The sequence below is a fragment of the Homo sapiens genome, chromosome 15, assembly GCF_000001405.40.
Source record: "Homo sapiens chromosome 15, GRCh38.p14 Primary Assembly".
Taxonomy (NCBI): domain Eukaryota; kingdom Metazoa; phylum Chordata; class Mammalia; order Primates; family Hominidae; genus Homo; species Homo sapiens.
The window spans coordinates 43,804,478-43,831,514 of NC_000015.10; the positions used below are offsets into that span (position 1 = coordinate 43,804,478).

General features: G+C 44.6%; 2 protein-coding genes across 3 annotated transcripts in view, besides 7 other annotated features; one reads left to right on the top strand and one right to left on the bottom strand.

The window, feature by feature from the left end:
• Positions 1-14: 14 nt before the first annotated feature.
• MFAP1 (microfibril associated protein 1) lies at positions 15-20,213 on the bottom strand. Its single transcript, NM_005926.3, has 9 exons — positions 20,014-20,213; positions 12,752-12,971; positions 10,468-10,597; positions 10,024-10,211; positions 8,772-8,880; positions 8,510-8,670; positions 5,278-5,437; positions 899-988; positions 15-799 (listed from the first exon to the last, which is right to left on the bottom strand). The coding sequence occupies exons 1-9, from the start codon at positions 20,090-20,092 to the stop codon at positions 617-619; spliced, it is 1,320 nt and encodes a 439-aa protein (NP_005917.2). The 5' UTR covers positions 20,093-20,213; the 3' UTR covers positions 15-616.
• Positions 5,010-5,059: an enhancer, noted in NCBI's record as "active region_9329". NCBI's record gives its function as "activates an Ori minimal core promoter by ATAC-STARR-seq in GM12878 lymphoblastoid cells {active_cell/tissue: GM12878}" and the evidence as "EXISTENCE:reporter gene assay evidence [ECO:0000049][PMID:35858748]".
• Positions 5,120-5,179: an enhancer, noted in NCBI's record as "active region_9330". NCBI's record gives its function as "activates an Ori minimal core promoter by ATAC-STARR-seq in GM12878 lymphoblastoid cells {active_cell/tissue: GM12878}" and the evidence as "EXISTENCE:reporter gene assay evidence [ECO:0000049][PMID:35858748]".
• Positions 8,145-9,344: an enhancer, noted in NCBI's record as "MED14-independent group 3 enhancer chr15:44104820-44106019 (GRCh37/hg19 assembly coordinates)". NCBI's record gives its function as "activates an origin of replication core promoter dependent on BRD2, BRD4, P300/CBP and CDK7 cofactors, and independent of MED14, by STARR-seq in HCT116 cells {active_cell/tissue: HCT116}" and the evidence as "EXISTENCE:reporter gene assay evidence [ECO:0000049][PMID:35650434]".
• Positions 20,017-20,276: an enhancer, noted in NCBI's record as "active region_9331". NCBI's record gives its function as "activates an Ori minimal core promoter by ATAC-STARR-seq in GM12878 lymphoblastoid cells {active_cell/tissue: GM12878}" and the evidence as "EXISTENCE:reporter gene assay evidence [ECO:0000049][PMID:35858748]".
• Positions 20,017-20,660: a biological region, named in NCBI's record as "H3K27ac hESC enhancer GRCh37_chr15:44116704-44117335".
• Positions 20,029-20,660: an enhancer, noted in NCBI's record as "H3K27ac hESC enhancer chr15:44116704-44117335 (GRCh37/hg19 assembly coordinates)". NCBI's record gives its function as "activates a minimal SCP1, AML or CMV promoter by ChIP-STARR-seq in primed H9 embryonic stem cells {active_cell/tissue: H9 hESC(primed)}" and the evidence as "EXISTENCE:reporter gene assay evidence [ECO:0000049][PMID:30033119]".
• Positions 22,494-22,553: a silencer, noted in NCBI's record as "silent region_6390". NCBI's record gives its function as "represses an Ori minimal core promoter by ATAC-STARR-seq in GM12878 lymphoblastoid cells {active_cell/tissue: GM12878}" and the evidence as "EXISTENCE:reporter gene assay evidence [ECO:0000049][PMID:35858748]".
• WDR76 (WD repeat domain 76) overlaps positions 22,525-27,037 on the top strand; it is a 41,411-nt gene continuing 36,898 nt past the window's right edge. The window contains exons 1-2 of one of the 2 annotated variants that reach the window (NM_024908.4): positions 22,525-22,615; positions 23,488-23,889. In NM_024908.4, coding sequence (NP_079184.2) covers positions 22,556-22,615; positions 23,488-23,889 — 462 coding nt within the window. In that variant the 5' untranslated portion in view covers positions 22,525-22,555. The remainder of the gene's footprint in view (positions 22,616-23,487; positions 23,890-27,037) is intronic. The other variant, NM_001167941.2, reaches the window with a different exon arrangement.

The following is a 27,037-nucleotide window of genomic DNA, read 5'->3' on the forward strand; positions in this document are numbered from 1 at the left end:
TGTGAAACACCTTCTGCCTGACAATTGTTATCTTTTACTTTAATAGGCAATTAATACTTGTCAGCTTGGACATTTTATTTCCAGTATCATGCTAAAAATCTCCTTGTTGTGTGATTCTTTTATTTCTTGACATGCACACATATATGGATCAAAAAGTATGTACAACTAGAAAAACGGACTCCAAGCAAAAATGGAAAACATGTTTCCATGAGCTTAGATTTCCGGGTATATTACTCCTAAACCTAAGGTAGAAGTAATGCATTGTTCACTTACATGTCCACTTTTCTAACCCAAGCTAAGGGCTGGAAAAAGAAAGTCAGAACAGTCCCAAGTAAATATGGGAAACCATAGCAGTGATAAAACCTAAGATTTCTCAGAAATAGTTTTAAGTGGGAAGCCTCTAATCCTACCTGGACAGTGCTTTCCTGTGGGTTTCTCAGCATGAGTCCAAACCTCACAAAGCACCTTCAAAGTCTGGGCTACCCAGTATCACAAGTATAGCAGTAAGTCCAATATCTGGATACAGGGGCCAAGGAAACAATGAAAAAACCAAATCAAGGACCAGATGCTGAGACTCCCCTTGTGTTCCACAGTTGGAAGAATAAGCAGTTGGACCCTAGGTAGTTTTCCGCTTCTTGGCAGATGGCCGCTCAAATACATCTCGTACCCCAGCTGCCTTTTGTTTGAAGAACTTTGTGTTCTGGGCACTCTCTTGGCCCCAAGCTGAGTCAAAGGAGGTGGTATCTTGATCCACAAGGTGAGTGTATTTGGTGCGACCTGAGCGTCCAAAGTTCTTGACCTGAGGGAAGGATGGATGATGAGTTATACCACCAAACAAACCATGCCTCAGCTATCAATACATCACTTTTCTCTGTCATGTTATTAAGGTTCCCCATACCTGCATGACTTTAGGAAGAATGGTTTTATTGAAATGATCCTCCAGGGTAGGAGCGCTGAAATCTCTCTTGTATACTTCTTCATCCTCATCCTGTATAAAAAAAATCTTATCAATCTTGTGGCTTTATTTCCTATATATTCAAACCACAAATTTATTAAACTCTACAATAAGGGATACAGAGAAAGCAGAGGGTATTGAGCCTTTCTTCAAGAGCTTACATCTAGTTGAAGAGATGACATTCTTTTTTTTTTTTCTGAGACGGACTCTCGCTCTGTTGCCCAGGCTGGAGTGCACTGCCGCGATCTTGGCTCACTGCAACCTCCGTCTCCCAGGTTCAAGCAGTTCTCCTGCCTCAGCCTCCCGAGTAGCTGAGGCTACAGGTGCATGCCACCACACTCGGCTAATTTTTTGTATTTTTAATAGAGACGGAGTTTCACCGTGTTAGCCCAGATGGTCTCGATATCCCGACCTTGCGATCTGCCCACCTTGGCCTCCCAAAGTGCTGGGATTACAGGTGTGAACCACTGCGCCCGGCCGAGATGATATTCTTTTTCCTTTGTTGTATTTCTCCTTTTTTTTTTTTTTTTTCCCTGAGACAGCGTCTCATTCTGATGTCCTGATGTCCAGGCTGGAGTGCAGTGGGGTCACTACTGCTCACTGAAGCCTTGACCTCCCAGGATCAAACGATGCTCTCACCTCAGCCTCCTGAGTGGCTGGGACTACAGGTGCATGCAACTATGCCTAATTTTCTCCTTGAGTGTAGACGTGTCTTGAAGGTTGGCTTATTCTCTGCACTCAATGTGTTTGTTTACTCATGTGACTTCAACTCTGCATAGGCCTCTCAAATCTGCAATCCTGGATTTTTTACTGGCTTTCATATATCATAAGTTGGATATTTTATTGGGACTTGAAATGCACGTCTAAAGTGAAAACCATTTATTAATACCTAACCTTTCCATATCAACCTCTTCTCTTTAACTTTTCTGTTAGTAGGACCAGCGTACTCTTCGATTACCTAGATTCAAAACTGAGTAACCTCTGTGTGCATTCAATCAGTTGCCACATCTTACAAACTCTTACCACCTGGGTTATTAGTTTTCCTCTACTATCAGTCTCACATACTGTCATGGCACTGATGTTTCTAGACTGTAACTCATTATAATCTTTGCCTTGCTCAAAAACTTCAATGGTTGTCTATTAAATGAATACAACACCTAGGCTGGGCGCAGTGGCTCACGCCCGTAATCCCAGCACTTTGGGAGGCCAAGGCGGGCGGATCACGAGGTCACGAGTTCAAGACCCACCTGACCAACATGGTGAAACTCTGTCTCTACTAAAAATACAAAAAACACTAGGCCTGGTGGCGCGCACCTGTAATCTCAGCTACACAGGAGGCCAAGGCAGGAGAATCACTTGAACTCAGGAGGTGGAGGTTGCAGTGAGCTGAGATCGCACCACTGCACTCCAGCCTGGGTGACAGAGCGAGATTCCATCTCAAAAATAAATAAATAAATAAATAAATGAATACAACTCCTCTGTGTAGTAATCAAGGCCAAATATTATACAGCCTTAATCCACCTTTTCAGTTCTCTTTGCCGCTTCCCTTCACAGCTGATGCTTTCTGCCTCCACTCCTGCTGGTCTCCACCTGGAATGTCTTCCCAGCACCGAATGTCAAAAAGTCTATACATCTTGGCCGGGCATAGTAGCTCACGCCTGTAATCCCAGCACTTTGGGATACTGAGGTGGGCACATCGCCTAAGGTCAGGAGTTCAAGACCAGCCTGGCCAACATGGAGAAACCCCGTCTCTACTAAAAATACAAAAACTAGTTGGGCGTGGTGGTACACGCCTGTATTCCCAGCTACTTGGGGGACTGGGGCAGGAGAATTGCTTGAACCCGGGAGGCGGAGGTTGCAGTGAGCCAAGATCGCACCACTGCACTCAAGCCTAGGTGACAAAAAAAAAAATTATATATTTAATTTTTTTTTTTTTGATACAGTCTCACTCTGTCGCCCAGGCTAGAGTGCAGTGGCGTGATCTCGGCTCACTGCAAGTTCCGCCTCCCAGGTTCACGCCATTCTCCTGCCTCAGCCTCCCAAGTAGCTGTGACTACAGGCGCCCGCCACCACGCCTAGCTAATTTTTTGTATTTTTAGTAGAGATGGGTTTTCACCATGTTAGCCAGGATGGTCTCAATCTCCTGACCTCATGATCCGCCTGCCTTGGCCTCCCAAAGTGCTGGGATTACAGGCGTGAGCCACCGCGCCCGGCCCAAAATTATACATCTTAAATGCTTAAATGTTACAACCTTTACGTCAACCCTTTCAATCTTCTACCAAATATAACATCTCTCTCGTCAGAACCCCTACAGTACTTTACTTTTACTTATGTTATAGTGATTATGTATTCTCGCTAACAGTGCTAAACAGTGACCTTTGCATAGTATATGCACTAAAGCTTACTTACTCAATGAAATAAACAACATTAGTAAGGCTGGATGCAGTTGCTCTTGCCTGTAATCCCAGCACTTTGGGAGGCCAAGGTGGAAGGAGAGTTTGAGCCCAGGAGTTTGAGACCAGCCTGGGCTACATAGCAAAACCCATCTCTACAAAATAGAAATTAGGTGTGGTGGCACACACCTGTAGTCCCAATTACTCAGGAGGCTGAGGCAGGAGGACTGCTTGAGCCCAGGAGAATGAGGCAGCAGTGAGCCATGACTGCACCACTGCACTCTAGCCTGAGTGATAATATTACAATGCTGTGATACATATTTATAAACACATATGCTGAAGGAATTAAAAATAGCACTATCTTGTTTAAGAAAGACTTTTTAAAAACAATTTATTTTGAGACAAAGTCTTGGTCAGCCACCCAGGCTGCAGTGCAGTGGCACGATCACGGCTGACTGCAGCCTCAACCTCTCGGGCTGAAGCAATCCTTCCACCTCAGCCCCTTGATAGGTGACACTACAGGCACGGACCACCACGCCTAATTTTTGTATTTTTTGTAGAGATGGGGTTTTGCCATGTTGCCCGGGCTGAACTCCTGGGCTCAACTGATCTGCTGGCCTTGCCTCCCAAAATGTTAAGATTACAGGCATTAGCCAATGTACCTGGCCCACCAAAGGACTTTCACATACACTTTTCTTATGTATCTTAACTAGCAATGAACTGCTTCTCTAAGAAACTTGATTATTAAAGCTGCGAACTGCTTAAGCAAACAAACTTTATGACCGAAGCAGTACAAGAAGTAGTTCATAATCTCCACTGAATAGTAAGCTACATCTGCTGGAAAACTACCTAAGTAAACACTTCCTGCTAATCAGATAGACCTGAAACTGATTTTGGAGGGTGGCAGGGAAGCCGCCACTGAAGTTTTAACAGCATCTGCAGTGAAAGGCAGGAATTTAGTTGCAGTGGGGATATTTAGAATTTGCCACACGGCACTTGAAAAAGCTAGTCTAGTTTTTGGTGCAAACTGCTTTAACATTAGGAAATAAACCATACAGGGTTAACAGATTGCTATTTTGATCTTAGTCTTTATATGAAAAACAAAGATGACGGCATTCCATCTAATGGTTAGATAATAAACCATTTTTTTTGGTTAGTTACTCTTGGGTACTGTCAGTTCAGAATGAAGTGAACTAACTTTCTGCCACCCAAAAGTGAATTAATGTAAAGCTATTTGCAGAGTTTGGTTTTCACATAACCAAAACTTCTCATTCAGCTATGAAAGAATGACAACTATGTCATGTGGAGGACCTAATTAGTCCACTATCTGTACAGATCACTTCTCTATTTCATTTCCTCAATTTATCTAAGGCTGGGGATGATGGCTCATGCCTGTATTCCTAATACTTTGGGAGGCTGAGGTGGGAGGATTGCTTGAGGCCAGAAGGTCAACACCAGCCTGGGCAACATAGTGAAACCTGGTCTTTACGAAAAATTAAAAAAAAAATAACCAAAAAAAAAAAAAAAGCCAGGCATGGTTGTTGCATGCCTGTAGTCCCAGCTACTCTGGAGGCTGAAGCAGGTGTAAAGCGCAGGACGTCAAGGTTGCAGTGAACTATAATCGCACCACCGTACCCCAGCCTGGGTGACAGCGAGACTCTGTCTCTTAAAAAAAAAAAAAAAGTCTATTACATCATTTCCTATTTTTGAGAGTTGGGGCCAAAAGAGAGAACAGTTGATGCTACTTCTGTCATCCAATTGCTGATGCTTTTCTCTGAGTTTATATTGTTCAGAAGGAAAAAGCAAATGAGAAAGCTGACCACTGGCAAGTGGAAATTACATTCCAGAATATTCTTGAAGAGAAAAATAATTCAAAGTTTCTGAGTTATTCCTACTGCCCAATTTTCTGACTCTCTTTTCACTTCTTACCATGAAGAAGGCACCCCGGTGATAATACTTCTGTAAGAACTTGTATTTGCCCTTAACAGCTTTGTTGGTAATGACTTTGCCGTTTGCCCGAAGTTCAGCTCTCCTCTCTTCCTCAGTCAGGTTTCGCATGCGTTCAATTTCTGCTTTCTCCTTCTCAAGCCTGTCCAGGGAGCAAAACAATTTATTGGTACTGTTACAGCTTCAGAAAGACCAAATTATCTGAAAATAACAGTCCCATGTCATTTCAAGTATTAGTCACCTTCTTTAATTCTAGTCATTGCCTATTAGGAATCAAGATAAGGAGCTCAATAAACAAATGGGTGAGTTAGTCTTCATTATGTTTGCTAGACTAGGTATTGCCAACTTTCAAAAGTTGATTCTAGCCCTTCTGACGTTCAGACATACTATTACTGCTGGGTTTTCCAACATTACAAATTCTCTTTCCCTAAAAGGTCTTCTTAGCTTTAAAAAAAAAAAAAAATCAGTGAATTTAAAATAAGTGTCTGAGGCTTTGCTGGTATTCCTTTATGTAAGTGTATCATAATCATATAGGTGCTTGCATGTCATAAACCAAAGATTACCATCATTAATTAGATTGCAGTAACTTTTTTTTTTTTTTTTCTTTTTGGTGAGATGGAGTCTTGCTCTGTCGCCCAGGCTGGAGTGCAGTGGTGTGATCTTGGCTCACTGCAAGCTCCGCCTCCTGGGTTCATGCCATTCTCCTGCCTCAGCCTCCCGATTAGCTGGGACTACAGGTGCCCGCCACCATGCCCAGCTAATCTTTTTGAATTTTTAGTAGAGACGGGGTTTCACCGTGTTAGCCAGGATGGTCTCAATCTCCTGACCTCGTGATCCGCCCGCCTTGGCCTTCCAAAGTGTTGGGATTATAGGCGTGAGCCACTGCGCCCAGCCAGATTGCAGTAACTTTTTAGCCAGTGTTGGGGAGAGGGAGTGATATCCCTTGTCTCCAAATAAAATGCATACATACACACAATTTTGTGTACAATTTTATATTTTTTTGAGATGGAATCTTGCTCTGTTGCCCAGGCTGGAGTGCAGTGGCATGATCTTGGCTCACTGCAACCTCTGCCTCCCAGGTTCAAGCTATTCTCCTGCTTCAGCCTCCTGAGTAGCTGGGATTACAGGTGTGTGCCACCATGCCCGACTAATTTTTGTATTTTTAGTACAGACAGGGTTTCACCATGTTGGACAGGCGGGTGTCAAACTCCTGACCTTGTGAGCCGCCCACCTCGGCCTCCCAAATTGTTGGGATTACAGGCGTGAGCCACCACGCCCGGCCTTGTGTACAATTTTAAAGGGCACTTAGACTCCTACTCCTACAGGTCCAGGATAAAAATCTTAGAAACTACAGGCTGAGGGCCAGGCGTGGTGGCTCATGCCTGTAATCCCAGCACTTTGGGAGGCCGAGGTGGGTGGATCACCTGAAGTCAGGAGTTCAAGGCCAGCCTGGCCGACATGGTGAAAACCCACCTCTACTAAAAATACAAAAATTAGCTGGGCGTGGTGGCATATACCTGTAGTCCCAGCTACGCAGGAGGCTGAGGCAGGAGAACCGCTTGACTCCCAGGGGGTGGAGGTTGTAGTGAGCCAAGATTGCGCCACTGCACTCCAGCCTGGGCGACAGAGTGAGACTGTGTCTCAAAAAAAAAAAAAAAACCAAAAACAAAAAATTACAGGCTGAGTATGGAGTTATCTACTGTGTGTAGCTCATACTCAGGCAAGTTTTCTTTTTTTCTTTTTTTTTTTTTTCCAGATAGAGTCTCACTCTGTCACCTAGGCTGGAGTGCAGTGGCACGATCTCAGCTCACCGCAACCTCTGCCTGCCGGGTTCAAGCGATTCTCTTGCCTCCGCCTCCCGAGTAGCTGGGAATAACAGGCACACACCACCACACCCAGCTAATTTTTGTATTTTAGTAGAGATAGGTTTTCACCATGTTGGCCAAGCTGGTCTTGAACTCTCAGCCTGAAGTGATTCGCCTGCCTCAGCCACCCAAAGTGCTGGGATTATGGGTGTGAGCCATCACGCCCAGCCTAGAGTTATCTATTGATGGTTTCCTTTGTAATCTGGGATTACCCTCTCATACCTAGTAATTTACAGGAATGAGTGATGCAGCTCAGAAATGATTCTGCTGGGGCCGGGCATGATGGCTCATGCCATAATCCCAGCACTTTGGGAGGCCGAGTTGGGTGGACAACCTGAGATCATGAGTTCGAGACCAGCCTGACCAACATGGTGAAACCCTGTCTGTACTAAAAATACGAAAATTAGCCAGGCATGGTGGCGCATGCCTGTAATCCCAGCTACTTGGGAGGCTGAGGCAGGAAAATCACTTGAACCTGGCAGGCGGAGGCTGCAGTGAGCTGAGATTGTGACACTTCACTGCAGCCTGGGTGAAAAGTGAAACTTCATGTCAAAAAAAAAAAAAAAAGATTCTGCTCTAACACAGTGTAGATTATTTAAGTGCCACAAATTCTTCCCCTCACAGTATGTATGCCCCTTTTCAAAAAGTATGACTTTGCTGCTCCTCCTCTGCAGAGGTGGAGTCTGTTTCTCCACCTGCTTAAAGCTAGGTTGGCCTTGTGACTTGCTTTGACCAGTATGTGGCAAGATCGATGTATGAGTTCTGGAACCGACATGTCAGAAGACCTTGCCCTCTTAGAATGGTGCCCTGAGACTGCTATGTAAGGAAGCCAGTCTAATCCAGTGAAGGATAAGTGAGGTATCCTAACTGATAGCCACCACCTACTACTAACATGTGAGTGAAGCCCTTTTAAGTTTCCAGCCCAGTCAACCTTCCAGCTGGATGCAACTACATAAGTAAGCCCAGGTGAAATCAGTAGAGGAACTGTTCAGCCAACCTCCAAAGTTGTGAAAAGTAATAAATTATAGTTTCAAGTCACTCAATTGTGGGTTGGGTTGTACACAAGAAGAGATAACTACTAACAGTTACTAATTTTTGTGTCTACTAGGAAACTAAAGGGAGCACTGGCTGGCACTCTATTATGGACACACATCGACAAAGTGTTTTTCTCTTCCCTGATTTCACTGTAGCAAGTGAAACTCATATTCCAATTATAGGAAACTCACAAAGCAACAAGAACTCTGAAGGTGGCTAGAATGGAACTCACAGTAGGTAATGAGTCTCAGAGCTATCCTGCTAGAAACCTGTTCCATTAGCAGCATTAACTCTAGGCTCATCTTTTTACTCACGCTTCTCGATCTTCTCTGTCCCTCTTGATTCTTTTTAGCTCTCGAACTTTCCATGCCTCATATTCCTCCTCATCATTTTCATCATCAGTATTGAGTGCATCCAATGCAGCCAGGGATCGCTTGTTCTCTTCCAGCTCTTTTTTGGTTTCCTCTTCGACAATCTGGATAGGGAGAACAATTCAGCTTGGACTTCCTTACTCTCCTCAGACAAACCTGATTACACTATTTCTTGTACTCATTCCTTGCAACCACTCCCCAGTACCTTGAGTGTGTACTTGCGCCTTTCCTCAGCCATGCGTTTTGCTTCCTGCTCCAGCTCCTTCTGTTTCAATGCTTCGGCTTCACGTTCTTGAACTGTCACTCGGTCCTTCCTGCATCACAGAGATCCTGTTAATTGCCCAAAGTCCTTAGAGTGGAGTGCTTTGTTCCCCTAGACCTAGTCCCATCCAAATCAGACAAAAACCAAACAATCTTTGGCTCTATTATTTTCAAAGAGCAAAAAACGCTGAGTCATCCCAGGTCTTTTTTTTTTTTTTTTTTTTTGAGACGGAGTCTCACTTGTCGCCTAGGCTGCAGTGCAGTGGTGTGATCTTGGCTCACTGCAACCTCCGCCTCCTGGGTTCAAGCAATTCTCTGCCTCAGCCTCCTGAGTAGCTGGGATTACAAGAGTCTGCCACCACACCTGATTAATTTCTTTGTATTTTTAGTAGAGATGGGGTTTCACCATCTTGGCTAGGCTGGTCTTGAACTCCTGACCTCCTGATCCACCTACCTCAGCCTCCCAAAGTGCTGGGATTACAGTCGTGAGCCACCGTGCCCAGCCATCATCCCAGGTCTTTAGAGGACTAAAATCATGTTCATCTTTGAGAACTGCCTAGACAGCAAAGAACCTGCTGGCCTCTAAGCAGTAGGATTTCTAGCCATCAGGAAAGGAATAGGAATTTGCTCGTTGAGTTTAATTTTGTGCTTAAAAATATATGGCCTTGGCTTGGTGCCGTGGCTCATGCCTGTAATCCTAGCACTTTGGGAGGCTGAGGAGGACGGATCACCTGAGGTTGGGAGTTCGAGACCAGCCTGACCAACATGGAAAAACCCCCTCTCTACTAAAAATACAAAATTAGCCAGGCGTGGTGGCGCATGCCTGTAATCCCAGCTACTCGGGAGACAGAGGCAGAACTGCTTGAAACCAGGAGGTGGAGGTTGTGGTGAGCCGAGATCATGCCATTGCACTCCAGCCTGGGCAACAAGAGCGAAACTCTGTCTCAAACAAACAAAAAAAGGCCTTGGACAGATATATGCTCTATTACTGAAAAAAGAGATGTGAAAACAAACTCAGGTTCTCTGCTAACGCCAAGATATTCCTCAGCAGCTAGTCTGCCAAGGGTAGAGCACTAGCAAAAGCACTTTCACTCAGCGTTTAGATTTCAGAATAGCAAGACAGAAAACAGACTTTTGTCTCCAGGCCTGGAAAGTGGTAATTAAGTGGATTCAGATCTGGCTTGTGAGATACTTACTTTCGAATGAAGACTGGCTTAAGGCGAGGCTCCATCTCATCTTCACTGTCTGTGTACTCTTCATACTCAGACTCTGATTCTGACTCCTCTCCAGAACGACCCTCATCTTCCACTTCCATGACTTCCATCTCTTCATTTTTTCTCTCCTGTGCTCGCTGACGCATCATGCCACGCCGCCGCTCTATTTCCTATCAAGTCATATATATAAGCCAGTCAGTCAAATGGCCTATGGCTTTTTGTTCGTCTCATCAAACACAACAAATTCAAATGTAAAAAGATACAACTTAGTATCATTCTATTTTTAATCCTATCCCCACAAACAAGGAACATGATCAGAGTCCTGCCAAAGCAGTGATCTCATGTTTTTAAGGCTTCAACAAATGAGCACTGGCATGAACTTTTTCTTATATCCAGAAAAAAACTTCCCATGTTCCTTTATCATACCTCATCATCAATTTCCTCCTCCTCTTCTTCACTGCTGTCTTCTCGTTCCATGCGCCAAGCATCTCCTTCTACTTCTGAGTCACTCTCTCCTACCACTTCAGGTTCCACTATTTTTCGATGTCGAGCCAATCTGAAAAACAGTATCTCCAAATGTAACACCAATGTCATAAAAATGAAGTAGCATCAACTGCATTTCCATAGCCACAGAGCACATTATGTTTGCCTTCATTAATACTGAAGTTTTTTTTTTTTTGAGGCAGGGTCTTGCTCTGTCGCCCAGGCTGCAGTGCAGTGGTGCGATCTTGGCTCACTGCCACCTCTGCCTCCCAGACTCAAGTGATCCTCCCACCTCAGCCTCCTGAGTAGCTGGGACTATAGGCGTGCCACCACACCTGGCTAATATTTGTATTTTTTGTAGAGACGGGGTTTTACCATGTTGCCCAGGCTGGTCTTGAACTCCTGGACTTAGGCAATCTGCCCACCTCAGCCTCTCAAAGTGCTGGGATTATAGGTGTGAGCCACCATGTCCATCCAGTATTAAAGTATTGAGGTGGAGGAAACTGAGGTGCAGATTAAAGAAACTAAACTAGGATGTCAGAGCGAATAGTCAAGTTGGGCCTGAAATACTAAATGTATGTTGAGGCATCCTGGGGCACCACAGCAAGCCAGCAAACTCATAGGGATGCATTGGGATTTTTTTTTTTTTGAGACAGAATCTCACTCTGTCACCCAGGCTGAAGTGCAAGGGCATGATCTTGGCTCACCACAACCTCCACCTCCCAGGTTCAAGTGATAATCCCTGCCTCAGCCTCCCGAGTAGCTGGGATTACAGGCATGCACCACCACACCCAGCTAATTTTTTTATTTTTAGTAGAGATGGAGTTTCGCCATATTGGCCAGGCTAGTCTTGAACTCCTGACCTCAGGTGATCCGCCTGCCTAGGCCTCCCAAAGTGCTGGGATTACAGGCATGAGTCACTGAGCCTGGCCTGCATTGGAATATTTTTAATAGCTCAAGATAATTCACTTTCAACATTAAGTCACACTACATTCCTTTCGAGAATATCGTGTCTTTGTGAAACTGGGTTTTGGTGGCTGCTGTGATAAAAAGTAAAAGAAAGTATAGTATGAAAATCAATATAAAACAAGACATGAAAAAGTGACAGTGCTGATTCCAAGGTTTGAAAGGCTGTCAGTGTCCAACAGGCAAACAAATTCCACTAGTAACTATGGTTATGTGAGAATGAATAAAAGTGTTTTTTCCCCCCTGGGCACTGTAATTTTATTTTTTTTTCTTTTTTCTTTTCTTTTTTTTTTTTTGAGATGGAGTCTCGCTTTGTCACCCAGGCTGGAGTGCAGTGGCGTGATCTCGGCTCACTGCAATCTCTGCCTGCCAGGTTCAAGCAATTCTCTGCCTCAGCCTCCCAAGTAGCTGGGATTACAGGTGCCCGCCACCAGGCCTGGCTAATTTTTTTGTATTTTTAGTAGAGATGGGGTTTTACCAAGTTGGCCAGGCTGGTCTTGAACTCCTGACCTCGTGATCCACCCGCCTCAGCCTCCCAAAGTGCTAGGATTACAGGCGTGAGCCACCGCACCTGGCCATGGGCACTGTTAATCTTCAAGTGGCAAAGTTATTAGGACATAAATACTTATTAAGTTACTTGGCTCTAACTACTTAATAACTAAAATAAACAGAACTGTTTTGGCCCAGGAGCTCTGTGAAAAAACTCCTGGGACAATTATGAACGGTGAAAGTTCAGGACTCCTGGCCTACTCTATAAAGTAATGTCTCCATCAATATATAACATACAAAATCCCTCACTGGGAGGCTCTCTTTCTACCATGAGACCTTTATAAGGTCTTTTCTCCTACTTCAGTGTCATTTCCCCTTATTAGCATTTAGAATAAGTAGATGTATAAAATCAATTTACCAAAGTTTATAAAACATCTTTGTGCTAAAAAGACTCCTCTCAACAGCCAACAAATGGTCTGTGTTTTCTATTCCCATAAGGAGTTGAGTAGGTCCTTTAGGCCAGAAGTAACCTGCTGTTTCCTGAAGCTGCCACTTTGTAGCTTTGGTCATGTAACTTTCTTAGCCCCTTTGTGCTCTTAGTTTCCTCCTTTTGTGAAATGGGGATAATAGCACCTATTTCATAAAGTTATTGTATGGATTACAAGAATTAGCAAATGTAATCTACTTGGTAGTACTATTCAAGTATTAGCTATTATTATTATTATTAAGCTGTAGAGGTTCATGTTCAAGTAAACACAATCACAGACATTACCTCTCTTCCACATCTTCACTAATACGGTTCTGTAAACGCCGTAGCCGGGGGTCACTGGATGAATCCTCCTCCTGTTCCTCAGGCTCTGCTTCTTGTTCTTTGGCTTTCTTAATGAACTGAAATTCTTCATCCTCCTCATCTGAGGACTCCATAGGGGCATAGTCTGGCCTTTTTCCGGACACATAACGCTTTACCTTCACTTTTTCCATTGAAATCTCACCTGGGCGAGAAAGGTAACTTATGTTTCAGTAGCCTCTTTCTCAATGTGCTTCAACCCATCACGGCCTTTGCAAATAGAGCCCTTTATTCATAGTAGACAAGAGTCTAAGCAGAAGAAGAAGAGAGCCACTACCCAACCATCTACTCTTCTAATGGTGTTTTCCTACAAAGGCCAAGTCATGAGACTGCATCCTTGTGAAAGCCAACACTGATGATAATGAGGCTTACCTTGAGTACAATGAAGTAGAGGAAGGTAGGCAGTGAAACAGTAGAAAAAAGTCCCCCCCCAAAAAGGCAGACTGCATCCATCACAAATTCATGGTATCCCACCTCAACTATACCCTTAAACAAATTATTTGTAACAGTGCCCAGCACATAGTAAGGGTAATTTCTGCAGGAACATAAAACTGCTCAGGCATTCTTGTAGTTCCCTCTGGAATTTCCATGGCAGCCTTTATAACATACTGCCACATGACTCAATATTCTAATCTTACCTATTTCTACCTTCTTTTCCTTTACCTTATGTGTTATCAAACATGCAAGAGTATGTAATCTCTTACAAATACAATTCTTTTTTTTTTTTTTTTTTTGAGACGGAGTCTCGCTCTGTCGCCCAGGCTGGAGTGCAGTGGCGTGGTCTCGGCTCACTGCAACCTCCGCCTCCCGGGTTCAAGTGATTCTTCTGCCTCAGCTTCCTGAGTAGCTGGGACTACAGACGCATGCCACCATGCCCAGCTAATTTTTTGTATTTTTAGTAGAGATGGGGTTTCACCGTATTAGCCATGATGGTCTCGATCTCCTGACCTCATGATCCGCCCACCTCAGCCTCCCAAAGTGCTGGGATTACAGGCGTGAGCCACAGCACCCAGCCTACAAATACAAACAATTCTAGTGAACAAAGACAGTGAAAACTAACCAACTTATTTTATGAGTATAACCTTGATAACCAAATTGGACAGTTCAAAGGAAAACTTTAGGTGGATTTCACTTACAAACACAAATACAAAAATACTAAATAACGTAAGAGCAAATTTATCCCAGCAATATAAAAACTACCAAAAAAAAAAAAAGAAACAAAAAAAAAAAACCCCTAGACCAACACAACTTATTAGAATTTAGCCCAAGACTAGAAGGATAGTTTGACCTTAGAAAATTAATGAGGGGGCCAGGTGCAGTGGCTCATGCCTATAATCGCAGCATTTTGGAAGGTTGAGGCAGGAGGATTGCTTAAACCCAGGAGTTCGAGACCAGCCTGGGTTTAGACCTCATCTCTACTAAAAACAAAAAAAATTACCCGGACATAGTGGTATATGCCTGTGGTCCCAAGCTACATGGGAGGCTGAGGTGGGAGAATCACTGGAGCCCAGGAGGTTGAGGCTGCGGCAAGCCATGACCACACCAAGGCACTCACTTTAGCCTGAGTGATAGAGTGAGACCCTGTGTCAAACACAAAAATATATATAGCTGGGCACAGTGGCTCATGCTTGTAATCCCAGCACTTTGGAAAGCCAAGGTGGGCAGATCAGTTGAGGCTAGGAGTTCGAGACCAGCCTGCCCAACATGGCAAAACTCCGTCTCTACTAAAAATACAAAAATTAGCCAGACATGGTGGCACAGACTTTTTAATCCAAGCTACTCAGGTGGCTGAGGCAGGAGAATAACTTGAACCTGGAAGGTGGAGGTTGCAGTGAGCTGAGATCGTGCTACTGCACTCCAGCCTGGGCAACACAGTAAGACTCTGTCTTTAAAAACAAAACAAAACAAAACAAAATTCCAAAAAAAAATGTACATAGATAGATAGATGAACAATGGGAGGGAAGCAATATACTATTTTTACTTTTTAAAATTTTATTTTTGTTTGTTATTTTTTAAAAGGTAGAGAAAGGGTCTTGCTATGTTGCCCAAGCTGGCCTTGGACTCCTGGCCTCAAGTGATCCTCCAGCCTCAGTCTCCCAAAGTGCTAGGATTACAGGTGTGAGCCATCTCTCCTAGCCTACTATTTTTTAAAGTCACATTTTTAAAAAATAATAGATACAGCAGACTTTATACTTAATGATAAAACAATAGAAACATTCTATTTATTTATTTATTTATTTTTTTTGAGATGGAGTCTCGCTCTGTTGCCCAGGCTGCAGTGCAGTGGCATGATCTCCGCTCACTGCAACCTCCGCCCCCTGGGTTCAAGCAATTCTCCCTGCCTCAGGCTCCTGAGTAGCTGGGATTACAGGTGCCCACCACCATGCCTGGCTAATTTGTGTATTTTTTAGTAAAGACAGGGTTTCAACATGTAGGCCAGGCTGGTCTTGAACTCCTGACCTCAGGTGATCTGCCAGCCTCAGTATCATAAAGTGCTGGGATTTCAGGTGTGAGCCACTGTGACTGGCCAGAAGCATTCTCTTTAAAAATCAGTGGGCATCCAGCTGGGTGTGGTGGCTCACGCCTGTAATCCCAGCACTCTGGGAGGCCAAGGCGGACGGATCACAACGTCAGGAAATTGAGAACATCCTGGCTAACACAGTGAAACCCCATCTCCACTAAAAAGACAAAAAAATTAGCCAGGCATGGTGGCGAGTGCCTGTAGTCCCAGCTACTTGGGAGGCTGAGGCAGGAGAATGGCGTGAACCCGGGACACAGAGCTTGCAGTGAGCGAGATAGCACCACTGCACTCCAGCTTGGGCAAGAGAGCGAGACTCCGTCTCAAAAAAACAAAAAACCAAAAAATTAGCCGGGTGTGGTGGCACGCACCTGTAGTCCCAGCTACTCAAGAGGCTGAGGCAGGAGAATGGTGTGAACCCAGGGGCGGAGCTTGCAGTGAGCCGAGATCGCGCCACTGCACTCCAGCCTAGGCGACAGGGTAAGACTCCATCTCAAAAAAAACAAACAACAACAACAAAAAAAACCAGTGAGCATCCTAATGTTGTACCTATCACACCTTCTAGTCAACACTGTATTATGGTTCTAATTTGGGCAATAAGGAAAAGTTATAAGGATTTAAAAGGAAGAAACTGCCATAATTTGCAGATTATATGGTTGTCTTTGTAGAAAACACAAGATAACAAATAGATAAAAGAGTTCAGAAAAAATGCTAGATAAAAAACTTATTTATAAAAATAAGCATACCTGTACATTAGCTACATATAATTAGAAAGTACAATTTTATTTTTATTTATTTTCTTGAGACAGGGTCTCACTCTGTTGCCTAGGGTGGAGTGCGGTGGCGCAATCATGGCTCACCGCAGCGTCAGCCTCCTAGGCTCAAACCATTCTCCTGCCTCAGCCTCCCAAGTAGCTGGGACTACAGGCGTGCAACACCATGCCGGTCTAATTTTTAAAATTTTTTTGTACAGACGAGGTCTCACTATGCTGCCCATGCTGGTCTTGAACTCCTGGACTCAAGTGATCCTCTTGCCTAGGGCCTCCCAAAGTGCTGGGATTACAGGCGTGAGCCACCATGCCTGGCTTATTTTCTACTGTTTGAGAAAGGGTCTCATTCTGTTACCCAGGCTGGTGTGCAGTGGCATGATCACAGCTCACTGCAGTCTCAACCTCCTGGGCTAAAGTGAGCCTCCCTCTTCAGCCTCTCAGTAGCTGGGACTACAGACAGGTACCACCCAGGTAATTTTGTTTTTTTGTAGAGCACTGTATTTTTTGGGGTCTCGCTATGTTGCCCAGGCTGAAGAAAATATAGTTTTAAAATACCATTAACGGTCACAAGTAATCTATAAGATACTGTGGAATAAATCCAACAAACAATGTACAAGGCTTTTAGGAGGAAAAATATGTAATTTTATTGAAAGATAAAAAAGATGTAAATAGAGAAATATTTCATGTTCAAGGATGAGAAGATGGCAACTGCACCTGAATTAACCTATAAATGTATAATCTATCATTTTAATGCAATTCCATTAAAAGTTGTCTCCAGGCTTATTCCAAAATCATATGGAAGAACAGGAGGCCCCAAAATGCCAAGACAATGCTGAAGAAGAATAAAGCTGATGGGGGCGGGGAAGGAGGGGTGGGGCATAGTTTACCAGATATGTCAGTGACCCAGGAAGTACACAGAGATCAATGTAACAGAGAAAAGAAAAACAAACTTATATGAGAACTCGAGTATATTATAGGGATGGCATTAAAAATCAGTAGAAAATGGATGGGGTGAGAAGGGACAATTGGCCAACCATATAGTAAAATTAGACCTCTAACTTCCACCACAGACACAAAAATTCCAGATGGATTAAAGACGCAACTATGAAAAACTTATCTTAAATATTTACATTCCCTACTGGACTGTAAGCTAACTTATAATCTGTCTTGTATAAGTGTGTATTCAACTCAATTTAATATATACAAACACTCAGAAGATAGAAAACCTTTACAATATGAGTATCTGTGATCTCAGTGCAGGGAAGGATTATTTCTTAAACGATATACAAAAAAAAGCTAAAACCATACAAGATAAAGTTGATAAATCTGATAATACTAAAACTAGAAACGTGTGTAAGAGAAGACTCCATAATTAAAAGACAAGCCAAAAAATGGGGAAACGTATACTATAGATTTGGAATATATAAAAACAAAGCAAACAGAAAGTGGGTAACTGACAGAAACAGGTAATTCATGGAAAAGAAAATCTAGAGAGCTTATTAGACACATGAACAAGATGCCCAGCATCGGCCGGACGCAGTAGCTCTATGGTGAGCCGAGATGGAGCCATTGCACTCCAGCTTGGTCAACAAGAGTGAAACTCTTTCTCAAAAAAAAAAAAAAAAAAAGCCCAGCATCACTAGTAATCAGGGGAATGCAAATTAGAATAATGAGATACCATTTCACACCTGTTAGATTGGGCAAAAAATGTAAAAATCTGATACAACCAAGTGTGTAGATGATGAATATATGGGAAATAAAGCTCTTAGGTTCTCAAAGTTTGTTTTCTTTTTTTTCTTTGAGACAGAGTCTTGCTCTGTTGGCCAGGCTGGAGTGCAGTGGCATGATCTTGGCTCCATGAAACCTCCACCTGCCGGGTTCAAGTGATTCTCCTGCCTCAGCCTTCCAAACAGCTGGGATTACAGGCGTGCGCCATCACACCCGGCTAATTTTTGTATTTTTAGTAGAGACGGGGTTTCACCATGTTGGCCAGGCTGGTCTCAAACTCCTGACCTCAGGTGATCCACCCATCTCGGCCTCCCAAAGTGCTGGGATTACAGGCCTGAGGCATCACGCCCAGCCTTTGTTTTAACAGACAGGGTCTTGATCTGTTGCTTAGGTTGGAGTGTAATGGCACAATCATAGCTCATTGCATCTTTGAACTTTCGAGCATAAGTGATCCTCCTGCTTTGGCTTCCCCCAAGTAGCAGGAGCACATCACTACATCCCGCTAATTTTTAATTATTATTATTATTATTATTTTTGAGACGAAGTCTTGCTCTTGTCCCCCAGGCTGGAGTGCAATGGTGCGATCTCGGCTCACTGCAACCTCTGCCCCCTGAGTTCAAGTGATTCTCCTGCCTCAGCCTACCGAGTAGCTGGGATTACAGGCGCCTGCCACCACACCTGGCTAATTTTTGTATTTTTAGTAGAGACGGTTTCACCACGTTGGCCAGGTTGGTCTCGAACTCTTGACCTCAGGTGATCCACCAGCCTCAGCCTCCCAAAGTGCTGGGATTACAGGCGTGAGCCACCGCGCCGGGCCCTAATTTTTATTTTTGCAGAGATTGGCGGGGGTGGGGGGTGGTCTCGCTATGTTGCCCAAGCTGGTCTTGAACTCCTGGCCTCAAGCGATCCTCCTGCCTCAGCCTCCCGAAGTGCTGAGATTACAGGTGTAAGCCACTGTGCTCCACAAATTCTTATGTTCTTATAACTTACTTTGGGGAGCAATTGGCAACAGGTACTAAATAAAGCTAGTATTGGCTAGAGAATGACAATTGCAGAACTTTCTTTTTTTTTTTTTGAGAGAGTGTCTCACACTGTGGCCCAGGCTGGAGTGCAATGGTGCGATCTCTGCTCACTGCGACCTCCACCTCCCGGGTTCAAGCAATTCTCCTGCCTCAGATTCCCAAGTAGCTGGGATTACAGGTACCCACCACCATGCATGGCTAATTTTTTGTATTTTTAGTAGAGACGGGGTTTCGCCATGATCGCCAGGCTGTCTTGAACTCCTGACCTCAGGTGTTCAGCCCGCCTCAGCCTCCCAAAGTGCTGGGTTTATGGGCATAAGACACCGTGCCTGGCCGCAGCACTTTTTTGAACAAGGGGACAACCACCTGCCTCTCAGTAGGGAATAAAGTGTGGATTACAGTTTATTTTATACAATGGAATTCATAAGCTGTTAAGATGAATGAATTAGATGTATAGGGATCCAAAGATAATTCTCAAAAGCCATGTTGAGACTAGATACGGCGGCATCTACTCGGGAGGCTGAGGCAGGAGGACAGCCTGAGCCCCAGGAATTCGAGTCCAGCCTGGGCAGCATAAGCAGACTTCTATGGACAGCAAAAGAGGGACTGTATCCCGCACAATGCCCTGCCAACAGGCATTCTCTATCTATCTATCTAGTCTGATATTATATACATATTCTGATATATACTTAAGTTCCTAATTATTAGATTAATAATATACTTAAGTTCCTAAGTAATTACACTAATAATACATAAATTCTTGTAATTATATGTAATTAGTGATATTATATTCTAATCATAATATATATTAGACTAATACATATATTCTAGCATATATATATTAGACATATATATTCTGATATATACTTAAGTTCCTAATGTTTTTATATGTGTAATATATATTATATATATGTAACATTAGTCTAAGGAATTTGTGGAGGCTAACAGAAGAGAGGTGCTTGCTGAATACGAGAGCAGGCCACAGGAACAAGATCGGATGCAAGTGGGTGGGGGTGGAAAGATCGAAGAATCTGGCAGCCAGATCTCAAGAGCTGGCGGGGTTGGAGTGGTCTGTCCGGGAGAGGTCTGGAGGTTGCTGGGGCCGGAAGGGGTTAAAATTCGACTGGGAAGAGGGTGTTAGCACCGTACCTTTCTCATTGCGAACTGGGACGGCCCCAGCCGTAGACTGAATGGGCGGTTGCTTCATGAGAGCGCTTGGGACCGACATGTTGATGGCAGCGACGGTGATTCCCGAAACTTGACTAATTCCAAACAGTGAACACCAGCAACGTCAACGAAGAGAAGAAATTCCTTCCACCTGAGTCCGCGAACACAGCTGCGCGACTGATAGAGAAACTACTTACGGCTGAGCTAGATAAACCGGAAATACGTGACGAGAGGATTGTGGGATGGTGGACGACGTTTGGGCGCCCACAGCTAGGAAGTCGAGTCGGTTTCTGCGCATGCTCATTGGCTGCCCGCATGTCCTCTACGTCGCAGAATTTGGAAGCAGCTTTTGGCGGGAAATTTTGCTTCCTTTGGGCTTTGCTGTTAGGACTCTGCGGTGAGGAAGGTTCGAATGAAAGATTTTACGTGTTAGCTTGGTTTGAAGCCAAGAACGGTATAGTGAATAAGAAACTCAGGCGACAGTGAGTTACTGTTTGAATGGCTTGTTGAAAGCTCAGAAGAAGTAGAGTTTGATGGAATAAAAATCTTGCCAGTAGTATCCGATTAGCTTAGTTCATAAGGCCAGGGTGGGCTGTGGTGCGGTATTTGGTTTCACAGGGCAGGTGGTGCTGATTTAGGCCAGTGACCGAAAAAAAAAAAAAAAAAACTCCCGAGGTGCCTGGGACATTGCCCACCTGAAATCCCAAAACTCCACTTTTTTAGGCTTTCAGGTTTTTCCAGTTTCTGGAAACTACCTATTAAAATACATTCCTGGCTAGAAAATGTTTGTATTTAAATATCTAAGTAATTATTATTCTTTTGAGACTGTCTTTTTCTGTCACCCAGGCTGGAGTGCAGTGGCTCGATCTCAGCTCACTGCAGTCTCCACCTCCCGGGTTTAAGCAATTCTCGTGCCTCAGCCTTCTGATTAGCTGGGATTACAGGCGCCTGCCACCACTCCCTGCTGATTTTTGTATTTTTAGTAGAGACGAGGTTTCACCATGTTGGCCAGGCTTAAGTGATCCGCCCACTCCGGCCTCCCACAGTGCTGAGTGTTGGCGTGGGCCACCACTCCCGGCTAATTTTTGTATTTTTAGTAGAGGCAGGGTTTCGCCATGTTGCCCAGGCTGGTCTTGAACTCCTGACCTCAGATGATCCACCTACCTCGGCCTCCCCAAAGTGCTGGGATTACAGAGGTGAGCCACCGCACCCGGCCTATTTAAGAACTCTTTAAGGACTTACAGGATAATAACAGAAGCAGCTCCAATTTACAAGCTGAGTCGTGTTAAAAAATATATATAATATTGGCTAATTGGAAAGTCAGGACACATTTCACAGTAGAAAGGACTTTATAACTGCGGGGGAGACAAGGGACAGTAGGAACAAAGTCTTAAAGTCCAGAAACAGTATGTTTTATACAGGACACCATGAAAAGTTTGGTTTTATCAGTAATTTTTGAGTCATGAGGGGCCTTGAAGTTGCTATTAATATGATTAACCCAAATTACTTCACCTGTGTTCTACAATTGGGCCTTGAGTGGGAGAAGAAATGAAACTGGACAAATCTCAGGCAAGGAACAGTGTGGGACCCAACTAAGCAACCAAGGAAACAGTTTTGGGCTAGAAGGAACCTTAAAGAGAATAGCCAGAATCTTATTTTATTATTTATAGAAGAGGGTCTTGCTCTGTCGCTCAGGCTGGAGTTCCGCGCAATCACGGCTCACTGTGGCCTCATCCTTCTAGGTTCAAGCCATTTTCCCACCCCTGCCTTCTGAGTAGCTGGGACTACAGACGTACAACACCACGCTGGGCTAATTTTTGTATTTTTTATAGAGATGGGGTCTCACTATGTTGCCCAGGCTGGTTTGGAACTCCTGGGCCCAAGTGATCCACTCCTCTCGGCCTCTCAAAGTGTTGGGATTACAGGCGTTAGCCACCGCTCCCGGCCTGTTAGTGTTTTTCAAAGCGACATCCCAGTACCACCAGAATCAAAATCACCAGTCAAAGGTAAAAATGTCAGTTCAGCCCCAGGACATCCCTAAAGAATTTGAGTCTAGGGCTTTAAGACAGCATTTTTTTTTTTTTGAGACGGAGTCTCACTCTTGTTGCCCAGACTGGAGTGCAATGGCGCGATCTCAGCTCACTGCAACCTCTGCCCCCTGGGTTCAAGCAATTCTGCCTCAGCCTCCTGAGTAACTGGGATTACAGGCACGCGCCACCAAGCCCGGCTAATTTTTGTAATTTTAGTAGAGACGGGGTTTCGTCATGTTGGCCAGGCTGGTCTCAAACTCCTGACCTCAGGTGATCCGCCGCCTCAGCCTCCCAAAGTGCTTAGGATTACAGGCGGGAGCCACCGCGCCTGGCCAAGGCGGCCTTCTTAAGAAGCGCGCGTAAAACCCCAACTTCCTGCTCTGGCGCTGCGGCCGCTGGGGATCTGAGTGGGCTCCGCCCCGCCTCGGACCCGCCCCTCCCGGCCTCCCGCCGCAATCTTGGCGGGAAGGCGCCGGCCGCTAAGAAGCCGAAAGATGTCCAGGTCGGGCGCGGCGGCTGAGAAGGCGGACTCCAGACAGCGACCCCAGATGAAGGTGAGAAACGGACTGGTGCTTCCAAGGTGTGCTCCTGCCTCGGTTTTTGTGAGGGTTATGCGGGACACAGGCCCAGGAGGTCGAGGGCACCTGGCACCGGGGGTAGGCGGGGGATCCCTGCCCTTAGGCCTTCAGCTTTGACGAAAGGTTCTTATCAATAACCCGAGAAATAGTGGGAGAGTCACATCTGGGATTCCCTTTCTTCAACCTTCTGCGTTTTCTTCTGCCACAGTTATGATCGGCTTCACACTCTTTAAATAATTCCAGACAATCCGCAGCTGACAGTTGGGGTATTTGCCCCAGTCACAAATGCTAGTCATTATTATTATTGGTCTGGAAAACTTATGGGCAAATGTGCCCAGTAAGTGAATTCTACTGAGGTTAAGGTTAGTGAATTACATATCTAGGATTTTGGAGGGGAAAATAAGTTTTCTTACGAAGGGTGTCAATTTGGATTTATTTATTTTTTTGAGCTTAAGTCTCACTCTGTTGCCCAGGCTGGAGGGCAGTGGTGTGATCTCGGCTCACTGCAACCTCCGTCTCCCGGGTTCAAGTGATTCTTCTGCCTCAGCCTCCTGAGTAGCTGGGACTACAGGCGTGTGCCACTATGCCCAGCTAATTTTTGTATTTTTAGTAGAGACAGGTGGTTTCATTATGTTAGCCAGGATGGTCTCGATCTCCTGACCTCGCGATCTGCCCGATTGGGCCTCCCAAAGTGCTGGGATTACAGGCGTGAGCCACTGCACCTGGCCTCAATTTGGATTTATATTGTCTTTGGGAAATGGGAATTATTAGATCTGTTAGGGATCCTGTAAGAAAAGGCACAGGACTTGGAGTTCTAATATTCTGTTTTCTTTTATTGATCTGAATAGGTAAATGAATATAAAGAAAATCAAAACATCGCTTATGTGTCTCTGAGACCAGCACAGACTACAGTTTTAATAAAAACAGCTAAGGTCTATCTTGCCCCCTTTTCACTCAGTAATTACCAGCTAGACCAGCTTATGTGCCCCAAATCCCTATCAGAAAAGAATTCTAACAATGAAGTGGCGTGTAAGAAGACTAAAATAAAGAAAACTTGCAGAAGGATTATACCTCCAAAGATGAAAAACACATCTTCCAAGGCAGAATCCACGCTGCAAAATTCATCCTCAGCTGTTCATACTGAAAGTAACAAGCTACAACCCAAGAGAACGGCAGATGCGATGAATCTCAGTGTTGATGTGGAAAGTAGTCAGGATGGAGACAGTGATGAAGATACCACACCATCCCTGGTAAGAACTTAATTAGTAGCTTGTTCTGGTTTCTCTTTTTTGAAATTTGAAGTTCTGATAAATCGAAGTTTTTCGAGGATCTCTCTGGTACAAACAAGTTATTTCATCATCTAATGTAAGTATAAATGTAATAATACATTTTTATTATTTTTAAGGTTTAACAAATAACTTCCTTGGGTTATTTTTGCTCTTGCTGTTGATGTGTCAATGAAAGGATTGACTTAATCTTTACTCTGCTTCCTTTTTTCTTTCTCTAAACTAACTGCATATATTTTTGGGTTTAGTCATACTTTATGGTGCCTTTCTCACCTTTACATGTTTATGTACAGTATATCAGAAGTCATCAGTTTGTGGGACATGGTATTGACTGACCTTTGATATCAGGGTAGGGAAACATAAATTGATTCTATGGTTGTGTTGAATAATATTTCCTTTAAATGCAAAACGAGACAAATGACAGAGTAGGTAAGATACATGAGAAACACATTTGTTCTGTGTAATTCCAATCAATTTAAGGAATTTGGTGTGTAATTTTTTTCTTTTTTTTTTTTTTGGAGACAGAGTCTCGCTCTGTCGCCCAGGCCAGAGTGCAGTGACGCTATCTCGGCTCACTGCAACCTCGGCCTCCCAGTTTTAATAGATTGTCCTGCTTCAGCCTCCTGAGTAGCTGGGATTACAGGCGCGTGCCACCACACCTGGTTAATTTTGTGTTTTTAGTAGAGACGGGGTTTCACCATGTTTGTCAGGCTGGTCTCTAACTCCTGACCTTGTGATCCACCCGCCTCAGCCTCCCAAAGTGCTGGGATTACAGGGGTGAGCCACTGCGCCCAGCCTGGTCTGTAATTCTTTTGGCTTCTGCTGCCTACCAGGAGCGCCGTGCTCCATTCAAAGTGACAAATTTTAACTGGACAAGATAAAACATACATAGCACATGACACAATGTTGATGGAACTCAGAAAACAGAAAATGATCCTAGGGAAAGGGAGATACTATAATTGAAGGCTTGTTGTTATGAAATAGAAGTTTGCTTTATGCTTTCTCGTCCCAGAGTTAAGAACCAGGACTCATAGTGGGACAGCATGGGGTAAGTATTAAATGAATTGGACTTGGGGTTGAGAGCCTAGCATGGCCACTTTTTTTTTTTTTTTTTTTTTTTTTTGAGACGAGTCTTGTTCTGTTGCCCAGGATGGAGCGCAGTGGCATGATCTCGGCTTACTGCAAGCTCCTCCTCCCGGGTTCACACCATTCTCCTGCCTCAGCCTCCTGAGTAGCTGGGATTACAGGCGCCCGCCACCATGCCCGGCTAATTTTTTATATTTTCAGTAGAGACAGGGTTCCACCATGTTCGCCAGGATGGTCTCGATCTCCTGACCTCATGATCCGCCCGCCTCGGCCTCCCAAAGTGCTGGAATTACAGGCGTGAGCCACCGCGCCTGGCCTAGCACGGGTACTTCTAAGAAACCTTGTTCCTTTAAGCAAATGACCTTAGGGGATTGGATAAAATCTGTGGTTCTCAAACTTTAGGCTATATCAGAATTACATGGAGAGTTTGTTAAAACTCCATTGCAGGGCCCCACCAACAGTTTCTGATTCAGAAGTTGGGGCATACAATTTGCATATCTTTTTTCTTTTTCTTTCTTTCTTTTCTTTTTTTTTTTTTAATGGAGATGTTGGGATGTTTGTGGGGTGGAGGTTGGGAGGTGTTGCCCAAGCTGGTCTTAAGCTCCTGAGCTCAACCAGTCCTCCAACCTCAGACTCCCAAAGTGCTAGGATTATAGGCTTGAGCCACCACACCCAGCCCAATTTGCATATTTAACAGTTTCCTAGAGACGCTGATGTTAGTCCAGGACTGCACTTTGATAACCACTGGATTAGGTTATCCCTTTGGCCTCTTAGACTGTAAGATTCTGAAGAAGTCAGGCTCGGTGGCTCACGCCTGTAATCCCAGCACCTTGGGAGGCTGAAGCAGGTGGATCACCTGAGGTGGGGAGTTTGAGACCAGCCTGACCAACATGGAGAAACCCCGTCTCTACCAAAAATACAAAATTAGCTGGGCGTGGTGGCACAGGCCTGTAATCCCAGCTACTAGGGAGGCCGAGGCAGGAGAATCTCTTGAACCTGGAAGGTGGAGGTTGCGGTGAGCCGAGATCGTGCTGTTGCACTCCAGCCTGGGCAACAAGAGTGAAACTCCGTCTCAAAAAAAAAAAAAAAAAAAGATTCTGAAGAATACAAGGTAAATATAAAGCAGATTTTAGTTTGATGTAATGAAATAGGTCCATTAATAGAGTTGCTCCTAAAGAAAAAAAAAAGGAGGTGGACAGATCACCTGAGATGAGGAGTTCCAGACCAGCCTGCCCAAAATGGTGAAACCCTATTTCTACTAAAAATACAAAAATTAGGCCGGCCATGGTGGTTCATGCCTGCACTCCCGGCACTTTGGGAGGCCACGGTGGGTGGATCACTTGAGGTCAGGAGTTGGAGACCAGCCTGGCCAACATGGTGAAAGCCTGTCTCTCCTAAATATAACAAATATTAGCCAGGCATGGTGGTGGGCACCTGTAGTCCCAGCTACTCAGGAGGCTGAGTCAGGATAATTGCTTGAACTGAGGAGGTAGAGGTTGCAGTGAGCCGAGATCATACCACTGCACACCAGCCTGGGCGACAGAGCGAGACTCTGTCCCCACTTCCCCACCAAAAAAAAAGAAAATATAAAAATTAGCCAGGCGTGGTGGCAGGTGCCTGTAATCTGAGCTACTCGGGAGGCTGAGATGGGAGAATCGCTTGAACCTAGGTGGTGGAGGTTGCAGTGAGCTGAGATCAGGCCACTGCACTCCAGCCTGGGTGACAGAGCAAGACTCTTGTTTTAAAAAAGTAAAAAATAAAGCCTCCCAAATAGCTGGGACTACAGGCATGTGCCACCTTGCCAGGCTAATTTTGACTTTTTATTTTGTAGAGATGTGGGTGTGCCATATTTATTGCCCAGGCTGGTCTAAAACTCCTGGGCTCAAGCAGGCTGCCCACCTCGGCCTCCCAAAGTGCTGGGATTACAGATGTGAGCCACTGAGCCCAGCCAAGATACTTTTTTTTTTTGAGACAGGGTCTCACTCTATTACCCAGGATGGAGTGCAGAGGCACGATCTCAGCTCAC

Bases quoted from the DNA above. Each gene is read 5' to 3' on its own strand.
- MFAP1 (NM_005926.3), bottom strand. From the start codon at position 20,092: ATGTCGGTCCCAAGCGCTCTCATGAAGCAACCGCCCATTCAGTCTACG. The intron at 12,972-20,013 runs GTACGGTGCTAA...TTTCTCGCCCAG, and splicing joins CCCAGTTCGCAATGAGAAAG to GTGAGATTTCAATGGAAAAA. The intron at 5,438-8,509 runs GTGAGTAAAAAG...CTCCCTGGACAG, and splicing joins GACAGAGAAGATCGAGAAGC to GCTTGAGAAGGAGAAAGCAG.